Raw genomic sequence first — 12,301 nt, forward strand, 5'->3', positions numbered from 1 at the left:
TGGCTCGTTCAACCAAGGCCTGTCCTCGAGAGTTATAGGGGATGCCCGTTGTGTGAGCAATTGCCCATGTCTGAGGAAGCTTTTTAAAGGCAGCACTAGTGTAGCCGGGGCCGTTATCAGTTTTTAGTTTCTCAGGACAGCCCATAACCGAGAAACAGGAAAGCATATGTCGTTTACCATGAGCTGTACTTTCTCCCGTTTGACAAGTGGCCCAAATAAAATGAGAAAAGGTATCAATAGTTACATGTATAAAAGAAAGCTTGCCAAAAGGAGGATAATGAGTCACATCCATTTGCCGAAGAGCATTCTGTGAAAGTCCTGTAGGGTTAACTCCTGAAGACAGTGGCTGTAAAATTAACACTTGACAAGTAGGACAGTGACGCACAATAATTTTAGCTTGTTTCCATGTAAGGGGGAACTTGTTTCGGAGTCCCGCAGCATTGACATGAGTTAAAGCATGAAAATTTTCTGCATCTGTAAAAATGGGAGTAACTAGTGTATCAGCTCTGGCATTTGCTGCCGAGAGGGGTCCGGGGAGGGGTGTGTGGGCCCGAATGTGAGTAATGTAGAAAGGAGAAGACCTTGCTCTGAGCACAGACTGAAACTTTTGAAAAAGAAAGGTTATCATCAGGCATAAATTGGATTAAGGCAGTTTCAATGTTGTGAGCAACATGTACTACATACGCTGAGTCGGAGACAATGTTAACTGGTTCAGGAAATTCTTCAAGGACAGCCCTAACAGCAAGCAGCTCAGCTCGTTGTGCTGAAATAGCCCCTGTGTTAAGAACACGTTCTCTGGGTCCTGTATATGCTGCTCGGCCGTTAGAGGAAGCATCAGTGAAAACAGTGACAGCTTCAGGTAATGGGGTGTTTCTAGTAACGTTAGGTAAAATCCAAGACGTGAGTTTAAGGAACTGAAATAATTTTACATTAGGACAGTGATTATCAATTATACCCGGGAAACCTGCCAAATGCACTTGCCAAGCGATGCAAGTAGCAAAAGCCTGTTGAACTTGTAATCGGGTAAGGGGAACAATGATTTTTTGGGGCTCTGTTCCCGAAAGACGAAGGAGATGAGAACGAGCCTGACCAATTAAGGTAGAAATTTGATCTAGATAAATAGTTAGCATACGTAAAGAGCTGTGTGGGAGAAAACACCATTCAATTAAATTATGTCCCTGAATAATGAGTCCTGTTGGTGAATGTTCAGTAGGAAAAATTAGTATTTCAAAAGGTAAATGTGGATTCACTCTGGTAACCTGAGACTGTTGAATGCATTTTTCTATAAGTCGTAATTCAGAATCCGCCTCAGGAGTCAAAGACCTTTTACTGCGTAAATCCGGATTGCCCCGTAATGTTGCAAAAAGATTAGACACAGCATAAGTAGGAATGCCTAGGGAGGGACGAATCCAATTAATATCTCCAAGTAATTTTTGGAAATCATTTAGAGTTTTTAAAGAGTCTCGTCTGAGTTGAACTTTTTGAGGCTTAATGACCTTATCCTCTAGCTGCATCCCTAAATAGTGATAAGGAGATGAAGTCTGAATTTTTTCTGGGGCGATAACCAAGCCAGCTGCTGTGACTGCTTGTTGTAAAGCAGAAAAACAAGATATTAATACAGAGCGTGAAGGTGCTGCACAAAGAATATCATCTGTGTAATGAATAATATAACATTGGGGAAATTTATCTCTAACTGGCTTTAATATGCATCCCACATAATATTGACAAATAGTGGGGCTATTGAGCATACCTTGAGGTAGGACTTTCCAATGGTAACGTGCTGCAGGAGCAACGTTGTTAAGGGTTGGAACAGTGAAAGCAAATTTTTCAAAGTCCTGAGGAGCCAGAGGAACGGTAAAAAAGCAATCTTTAAGGTCAATGATGATAAGTGGCCAATACTCAGGAATCATAGTGGGGGAGGGCAAACCGGGTTGTAATGTCCCCATAGGCTGAAGGACAGCATTTACCGCCCTAAGATCAGTAAGCATTCTCCACTTACCAGATTTCTTTTGGATAACAAAAACAGGTGAATTCCAAGGAGAAAAAGAAGGTTCAATGTGTCCCAATTTTAACTGTGCAAGAACCAAAATATGAAGTGCCTCCAGCTTATTTTTTGGGAGTGGCCACTGATCTACCCAGACAGGTTTTTGAGTTTTCCAGGTCAAAGGGATGGGTTCTGGAGGCTTGATAGTGACTGCTTCTAAAAAGAATAACCAAGTCCTGTAGAGTCTGCTTTAGGAGTAGGTATGATAGGCTCAGTGATGCCTTGTGCTGATTTTCCTAAACCCAGACCTTGAACAAATCCCATTTTGGTCATCATATCTTTACTCTGCTGGCTGTAATTGCCTTTAGGAAAAGTAATCTGAGCCCCCCATTGATAAAAAAGATCTCTTCCTCACAGATTGACAGGAATGGGTGTAATGAGGGGGCGAATAGTTCCAATCTGTCCTTCAGGGCCTGTGCAATGTAAAATTATGGAGCTTTCATATACCTGTGAAGCCTGACCAACACCCACTAATGCTGTGGAGGCATGCTCCTTTGGCCAGTGTCGGGGCCATTGATGTAAAGCGATAATGGAAACATCAGCGCCCGTGTCAATCATTCCCTCAAACTTCTTTCCCTGAATATGCATGGAGCACACAGGACGAGTGTCAGAAATTTTGCTGGCCCAGTAGGCTGCTTTACCTTGATAATCTGTGCTACCAGAACCTCCCTTTCTTGTACTAGAACTAGATCCCAAAGGAATGTAAGGAAGTATCAGGAGTTGAGCAATGTGGTCCCCAGCTGCTGCATTCCAAGGGACTGCAGAGCTAATGACAATACGAATTTCACCTGAATAGTCAGAATCAATTACACCAGTATGTACTTGAACACCTTTTAAATTTAAACTTGAACGTCCCACTAGCAAACCGACACTGCCAGTCGGCAAGGGACCAAAAACACCTGTAGGAACAGCAATAGGTGGCTCTCCAGGCAACAAAGAAATATCTCTGGTACAACAGAGATCTACTGCTGCTGAGCCTGTGGTGGTGGGGGACAAGCATTGTACTGAGATTGGTGTTGGGGCTGAGGCATTAGATCCTGTGGCACAAATTGCTGAAGTGGGAATTGGGGTGGAGGTTGAATGGATTGAACTGGGAAGGCTCCCGTTTGGCTGGACGCCAGGGGCTGAGAGTTGAGGAATGCCCCACTGTTTAGAGGGGCCTGGGGCCAGCCCCTCATCCTGTTTCCCCGATTTTTAAAAGGCCGTAAAGGATTGCCATCAATATCAAATCTGGAATGGCATTGAGATGCCCAGTGAAGACCCTTTCGGCATCGTGAGCATACAGTAGAAGGTGGGGCATCTTGTTGCTGAAAAGTTTTTTGTTGTTGTTGGTGGTGATGTAAAGGACAGCGACCTGCATGCCGAGGGCAATTTCTTTTTGCATGTCCCTTCTGGCCGCATATGAAGCATTGGCCAGAGGATTGTCCAGGCATTTGAATAGAGGCCATAGCTTGTGCCATAATCATTGCTGTATGGAGAGTTCCTCCCACCCCTTCACAGGCTTTAATGTAGGAGGTGAGTATATCACCACCCGGTGGAATTTTACCTTTGACGGGGCGAATAGCCGCCTGACAATCTGGATTTGCTTGTTCATAGGCCATAAGTTCTACAGCAAGTCTTTGGCCATGGCTATCAGGAATAGCCTTTTCTGCTGCGTCTTGAAGACAAGCAATAAAGTCTGGGTAGGGCTCATGTTGTCCCTGTCTGACGGCTGTGAAAGATGGGCATACTTTACCATCATCTTGAATTTTGTCCCAAGCATCTAAGTAACATTTTCGCAGTTGTTCGATAACCTCATCATTTAGTATAGTTTGGTGTCGGATTGCAGCCCATTGACTCATTCCCAGTAACTGGTCAGCCGTAACGTTAACAGGGGGATTAGAGCCCTGATTAAGACGAATGCGTTCCTGGACAGCATCAACCCACCAAGTCCTGAATTGTAAATATTGGGATTTAGATAAGACTGATTTTGCCAAAATTTCCCAATCATAGGGTACCAAACGTTTATCCTCTGCTAGGGCTTTTAATGTGGAATGGACAAAAGGAGAGTTGGTGCCATATTGTTTCACTGATTCCTTAAAATCTTTGAGGAATTTAAAAGAAAAACTTTGCCACGTAGCAGGACGTAGCTGAACCTGGCCTGGATGGATGGGGTCAGGCTGAATTACCACCTGAACAGCGGGAATGCCCGGTATTGGCTGTGCCCCAGGAGCCGGCAATTGCAGAGCCTGATTATTTACCCGAGCAGCCTGATTCTCAGGCTGAGGGGCTTGATTATCAGCCTCTTGATCTTGTTGAGCTGCGGGGTCAGCCGCCTGCTGGGCAGGATCAACAACAGGCTGTGGGTGGTTTTGTACTGCTGGGGTGGCAGGTACTGGGGGTTGTAAAATTACAGGAAATTGCCAAGCTTCAGGATCCCCATATTCCCTTGCCTGAACTATAGCCCTCATAAGCGGAGTGTCATCTTCAGGGATGTATGTAATTTGTTGCTTATGAGCGGCAATGGTAGTATTGGCAACAGCAGTTGCGACTGGACCAGGAGCAGAAAAAGAGGTAGAATTTTGAATAGAAGGAGAGTCGAAAAACTGAAAGCCAGGGTGAGAGCAGACTACCTGCTGAGCAGGTCTTTCATGGGCCTGAAAACCAGGCTGCCACGGCAAGTGTGAACCAGGCTTCAAGGGAGCCTGTGACTCTACCCGAGTCTGATTTGTAGGAAAGGAACCAGGCTTCAAGGGAGCCTGTGACTCTAAGTGAGTGCGATTTGTAGGAAGTGGACCAGGCTTCAAGGGAGCCTGTGACTGTAACTGAGTCCGATTAGGAGGAAAAGAACCAGGCTTCAAGGGAGCCTGTGACTCTAACTGAGTCCGATTTGCAGGGAATGAACCAGCCTTCAAGGGAGCCTGTGACTCTAAGTGAGTCAGATTAGGAGAAATAGGATTGAGGGCCTCATTACCGGGCCGAGAATTGGAAGCCTCTTTTCCAAGCTGTTCATATAGCAGAGCCTCTGTACCGGGCTGCATAGAAACGTAATTTGTAGACTCGTTTACAGGCTGCCTGGTCTCATCTGCTATTTGCACGGCGGCAGTGTTGAAAGAGTGAGGAGAGACAGGAGGGTCTGGCCGCAATGGCTGTTGATATGTTTCAGCTGAGTTTTGCTGATTGGGGGAGATAAGTACATTTAGGTCAGTTAAAAGATCATCATAAAGCGGCAATGGGGGTGCAGTAGCCTCTGGCGTAGGTGGTGGTGTCGCAGGCATGTCAGAGTGGAAGTCCTCCTTTGAAATTACGTTCTCAACTTGTGCGGTATCCTCAGGGGAAAGAGAGCTGAGAGCTTCCTCGACCTCCTCAGAGGAGAGGAAAGAGGGATCAGTCTCCATATTGTCCTCCTGAGTCTGTAAGGAGTCTAAGACAGAGCGAACCGAAGCCCAGATTGACCAAATGGTGGGTGGGATAAAATGTCCCCCTTTATGAGCAATTTTGAATTGTTTGCCAATCTCATCCCAATCTTTAAGTTCTAAAGTTCCCTCAGTCGGAAACCAAGGGCAAAGAAGATCTACAACCTCAAATAGTTCAATTAACTTTTCAGTAGAAACTTTAACACCTCCTTCTTTAAGAAGAGTTTTTATAAAATTTAAATAAGCCGAATACTTTGTACTGGCCTGTCCCATGGGGTCCCCGGAAAACTCTGAGTGTTCAAGCTTACCACCAAGTTTATTGACTGCAATCTTCAGGAATCTCTCGTTGAACTCCTCCGCTGATCCTGCACTCAGGGTGCAACTTCACACAGCGAGGGAGAGCCCCACGTCGGAGAGCCAGATGTAGGGACCAGCCCCACAGGGTCAGTGGGTCTCTCCCTGTGTGCGGTGATGAGAGAGTGTAGAAATAAAGACACAAGACAAAGAAACAAGAGAAAAAGCAGCTGGGCCCGGGGGACCACTACCACCAATGCGCGGAGACCAGTAGTGGCCCCGAATGTCAGGCTGCGCTGTTATTTATTGGATACAAGGCAGAAGGGGCAGGGTAAAGAATGTGAGTCACCTCCAGTGATAGGTAAGGTCACGTGGGTCACATGTCCACTGGACAGGGGGCCCTTCCCTGCCTGGCAGCTGAGGCAGAGAGGGAGAGGAGACAAAGAGAAAGACAGCTTATGCCATTATTTCTGCATATCAGGGACTATTAGTACTTTCACTAATTGACTACTGCTATCTGGAAGGCAGAGCCAGGTGTACAGGATGGAACATGAAGGTGGACTAGGAGTGTGACCACTGAAGCACAGCATCACAGGGAGACAGGCCTCTGGATAACCGCGGGTGAGCCGGACTGATGTCAGGCCCTCCACAAGAGGTGGAGGAGCAGAGTCTTCTCTAAACTCCCCTGGGGAAAGGGAGACCCCCCCCCCCACCCCCCACCACTTTCCCGGTCTGCTAAGTAGCGGGTGTTGTTTCTTGACACCTTTTGCTACCGCTGGACCATGATCAGCTTGGTAACGGGCATCTTCCCAGAAGCTGGCGTCACCGCTAGACCAAGGAGCCCTCTGGTGGCCCTGTCCGGGCATAACAGAAGGCTCGCACACTTGTCTTCTGGTCACACCTCACTATGTCCCCTCAGCTCCTATCTCTGTATAGCCTGGTTTTTCCTAGGCTATGATTATTGAGTGAGGATTATCATAATATTGGAATAAAAAGTAATTGCTACCAACTAATGATTAATGATACTCATATATAATCATATCTAAGATCTATATCTGGTATAACAATTCTTGTTTTATATTTTATTACACTGGAACAGCTCGTGTCCTCTGTCTCTTGCCTCAGTGCCTGGGTGGCTTGCCACCCACAAATACAATTATGGGTTTCTACCAGCAAGAAAATCTCAGAGAAAATAGAGATTCTCATGCATATTTTATGAAGCCCTCACATGGTATAGAGAGTATCCTATAAGGGCCCAACACACAAGGGAAATTGTGACACTTGTATGCACAAGCAGCCTACAGTATTAATAGCCATTCTCGTACATGAACACCGCTCACTGTAGAGGTTCTGAATCTAAAACCCAGAGGCAGTCAAAAGTTAAAAAATTGTCCCCCATATGTGAATCCAGTCACAGGTATTGGTGACTCTCAGGCCAATATTCAGCACACCTTTAAGACTGTGACTTTACTAAAAAGACACAGTAAGCAGGAAGGATTGAGGCTTTCATGCATGGATTAAGTACATGATTGAGATTGGGACTCATGTACTTTGACCCAACATACAAAGTGTTGACTCTCGTACCTGGAACAAAGACACACGTGAGATTGTCAATCTCATCTCTAAATCATCCTGCAGGTGTGATTGTAACATACACCTTTTCCCAGCACCTGAGTGATTGGATCCTCCTACCTCAGCCTAGTCCCCAGAAAAAAATTTTGACATATTGCTGGACTGAGCACCTAGATGATGTGACTCTATTTTCTTGGAGCTGCACACAGTGGGTAGTTTGACATATTGCTGGGCTGTGAATTCAGGTGATGTGAGTCACCTCTCCACATTCCACAGGGGGCATTGTGACATATCACTTGGCCTCACATCCAGGTTATATGACTCCTGCCCGCACCCTACACACATGAGCCATTTGTGACATAATGGCCAGCACCCAGGTAATGTAACTCTTTTGCCTGGGCCCTGTTTACATAAGACTTTTGGTCACATCTCTGCACCCATCAACCATGTGATCTGACTCTCTTCTTTTGCCTTATTTCTGCTCACAGGAAAAATTATGGCATATCATTGGGCCCAGCATCAGTGATTATGACATATCACTGGGCTCAGCCCAGCCTAGCTGATGTGGCTCTTCTCTCTCTCTCTCTCTCTCTTTCACTCTCTCTCTTTTAGATTCTGACCACAAAAGAGATTGTGACACATTGCTGAGTCCAACATCAAGATGATGTTATACTTTTAACTTGGCCCTGCCCTCAGAAAGCATTGTGACATATTTCTGATGCCAGCATTAAGATTATGTCAGCCTCCTGCTTGCTCCTTTCCAAAAGGACGCATTGTGACATATCTCTGGGCTAATTAACAATTTGATGTGAGTCTTCTCTCTTACTTTGGTTTTTCTCATAGGAGAAATTGTGACATGTCTCTGAACCCAGCACCTCGGTGATGTCACTGTTCTCTTTTTTCTTAATTATGTCCACAAAAGAAAGAGTGACTTGTCACAGAGCCCAGGACACAGGTGATGTGATTATTCAATCTGGTCCCTGCCCGAGGGGTCACTGTGACATATCTTAGGGCCATCACCAAATAATGTGGATCTCCTGTTCTTCCTGGGACTTATCCACAGTGAAGATTGTAACACATTGCTTGGGCCAGTGTTTATATGATATGACTTTCCTCTTATCCTGCTGGCTAGGGTAATTGGAACATTTAGGTGGCCCAGCCTCTAGTTTATGTAAATCTCCTTTTTTTCCTGAGCCTAACCCACAGGGGGGCATTTCAATGTATTTCTGGGCTTTTCACCTAGGTGATGTGACTTTGCTGCCTGGGCCCTTCCCTCAGGAGCTATTGTGACGTATTGCCAGAACAAGCACCTAGCTGATGTGTCTCTCCACTACAGACAGTGTCATCACAGGGCCAATCAAAAATATGAGATTGTGTTTCTCATATGCATACTTAACCAAGTGTTATAATTGTCACTCTTAAACATGGAAAGAATCCACTGGTGCTGTCCTTAATCTCACACGTGGGTGTAGTCCACAGTTGGAATAGTGACTGTCATATTTGACTATCCAGCTAAAGTTGGGATTGTTACTCATTTCTAAACCCAGATCATAGGCAGGTGAAGACTCTCCTATCTTGACCCAGCCAATGGGAAAGGTGTTGACTCTTATAACTTTGCTTAGTGCCACAGGTTCAAACATGAGTCCATACGAGTAAAAAGGTCTCAGAGAGAATTTGCATCTCTCATGCTTATCATATAAAGTTCTCAGATGATACAGAGAGTGTCCTAACAGGACCCAGCATACAGGTGACATTGTGCCACTTTTATGCACATCCACCCAACAGGAAAGATTAAACACAGAGCCCAGGCAAAAACCTCACACATGAACCCAGCCCCCTGTTGAGGTTTGGAATCTCAAATCCAGACAGAGTACGAAGTTAGAAAATTGACTCTCATATGTAGATGTCATCCACAGGTGTGTTAATGCCTGTCAGATCAACATTCAACACACCTGTGAGCCTGTGTCTCCACTAAAATAACACACTCTGCACAAAAAACCTAGGCTCCAATGCGCAACTGCACACCACCATTGAGATTTTGACTCATGTACTTAGAATCAACATACGGGTGGTATTTACTCTCATATTGAAAACCAGGATGTGTCCAGGAGTGTTAATCTCACCTGTGAACCTTTTTTGCAAGTGTGATTGTGACCTATGCCTCTGCCCATCATCTATTTGAGTCTTCTGCCTGGGACCAGCCAACAGATGGGATTGTGACATACGGCTGGAGCCAGCATTTAAATGATGTGACTCCATTTTTCTGCCTTGGTGCTGCCAATTGGGCCCAGAACCAAGGTGATGTGAGTTTTCTGCCTAAAATCCACCCACAGGGAGCATTATGACAAATCTTTCAGCCCATCAATTGTTTGATGTGACTTTTCTTTTACCGGAGCTTTTTCTTTTTTTTTTTTTGTTATTTTTAATTATTATAAATACATAATGGTTATACATATTTATCGGGTACATGTGATATTTTGATACAGGTGTACAACATGTATGATCAAATCATGCTCACTGGGGTATTCATCACCTCAAGCATTTATCATTTCTTTCTATTAGGAACATTCCAATTCGACTTTTAGTTATTTTAAAATACACAATAAATTATTGTTAAACATAGTCACCCTATTGTGCTATGAAATACTACATTTTATTCATTCTATTTGTGTTTTTCTATCCACTCTTTATTATCCTCTCTTTATTATCCTTTCTTTCTTCTTTTTTTAAAATTATACATTAAGTTCTATGGTACATATGCACAACGTGCAGATTTGTTATATAGATATACATGTGCCATGTTGGTTTGCTGCACCCATCAACTCATCAATCATTTACATTAGGTATTTCTCCTAATGCTATCCTCCCTGCCAGCCCCCCACCCCCTGACAGGTGTGTGATGTTCCCTGTCCTGTGTCCAAGTGTTCTCATTGTTCAATTCCCACCTATGAGTAAGAACATGTGGTGTTGGGTTTTCCGTCCTTGTGATAGTTTGCTGAGAATAATGGTTTCCAGCTTCATCCATGTCCCTGCAAAGGACAGGAACTCATCCTTTTTTATGGCTGCATAGTATTCCATCGTGTATATTTGCCACATTTTCTTAATCCAGTCCGTCATTGATGGGCATTTGGGTTGGTTCCAAGTCTTTGCTATTGTGAATAGTGCCGCAATAAACATGCTTGTGCATGTGTCTTTATAGTAGCATGATTTATAATCCTTTGGGAACATACCCAGTAATGGCGTTGCTGGGTCAAATGGTAATTCTAGTCCTAGATCCTTGAGGAATTGCCACACTGTCTTCCACAATGGTTGAACTAATTTACACTCCCACCAATAGTGTAAAAGTGTTCCTATTTCTCCACATCCTCTCCAGCATCTCTTGTTTCCTTCCTTTTTTTTTTTTTTTTTTTTGAGATGGAGTCATGCTCTGTCCCCCAGGTTGGAGTGCAGTGGTGCTATCTAAGCTCACTGCAAGCTCTGCCTCCCGGGTTTACGCCATTCTCCTGCCTCAGCCTCCTGAGTAGCTGGGACTACAGGTGCCCACCAACAAGTCTGGCTAATTTTTTGTATTTTTAGTAGAGACGGAGTTTCACCATGTCAGCCAGGATGGTCTCGATCTCCTGACCTCGTGATCCACCTGTCTCAGCCTCTCAAAGTCCTGGGATTACAGGAATGAGCCACTGTGCCAGGCTGTTTCCTTACCTTTTAATGATTGCCATTCTAACTGGCATGAGATGGCATCTCATTGTGGTTTTGATTTGCATTTCTCTGATGACCGGTGATGATGAGTATTTTTTTCATGTGTCTGTTGGCTGCATAAATGTCTTCTTTTGAGAAGTGTCTGTTCATATCCTTCACCCACTTTTTGATGGGGTTGTTTGTTTTCTTCTTGTAAATTTGTTTAAGTTTGTAGATTCTGGACATTAGCCCTTTGTCAGATGGATAGATTGCAAAAATTTTCTCCCATTCTGTAGGCTGCCTGTTCACTCTGATGATAGTTTCCTTTGCTGTGCAGAAGCTCTTTAGTTTAATTAGATTTGTTGCCATTGCTTTTGGTGTTTTAGTCATGAAGTCCTTGCCCATGCCTATGTCCTGAATGGTATTGCCTAGGTTTTCTTCTAGGGTTTTCATGGTTTTAGGTCTAACATTTAAGTCTTTAATCCATCATGAATTAATTTTTGTATAATATGTAAGGAAGGGATCCAGTCTCAGCTTTCTACATATGGCTAGGCCGTTTTCCCAGCATCATTTATTAAATAGGGATTCCTTTCCCCATTTCTTGTTTTTGTCAGGTTTGTCAAAGATCAGATGGTTGTAGATGTGTAGTGTTATTTCTGAGGCCTCTGTTCTGTTCCATTGGTCTATATCTCTGTTTTGGTACCAGTACCATGCTGTTTTGGTTACTGTAGCCTTGTAGTATAGTTTGAAGTCAGGTAGCACGATCCCTCCAGCTTTGTTCTTTTTGCTTAGGATTTTCTTGGCAATGCGGGCTCTTTTCTGATTCCATAGGAAGTTTAAAGTAGTTTTTTCCAATTCTGTGAAGAAAGTCATTGGTAGCTTGATGGGGATGGCATTGAATCCATAAATTACCTTGGGCAGTATGGCCATTTTCATATTGATTCTTCCTATCCATGAGCATGGAATGTAATTCCATTTGTTTCTGTCCTCTCTTATTTCCTTGAGCAGTGATTCATAGTTCTCCTTGAAGAGGTCCTTCATGTCCCTTGTGAGTTGGATTTCTAGGTATTTTATTCTCTTTGTAGCAATTGTGAATGAAAGTTCACAAATGATTTGGCTCTCTGTCTGTTATTGGTGTAGAGAAATGCTTGTGATTTTTGCACATTGATTTTGTATCCTGAGACTTTGCTGAAGTTGCTTATCAGCTTAAGGAGATTTGGGGCTGAGATGATGGGGTTTTCTAAATATACAATCACGTTATCTTTAAATAGGGACAATTTGACTTCCTCTCTTCCTAATTGAATACCTTTTATTTCTT

Source organism: Homo sapiens, chromosome 19 (genome assembly GCF_000001405.40).
Source record: "Homo sapiens chromosome 19, GRCh38.p14 Primary Assembly".
Taxonomy (NCBI): domain Eukaryota; kingdom Metazoa; phylum Chordata; class Mammalia; order Primates; family Hominidae; genus Homo; species Homo sapiens.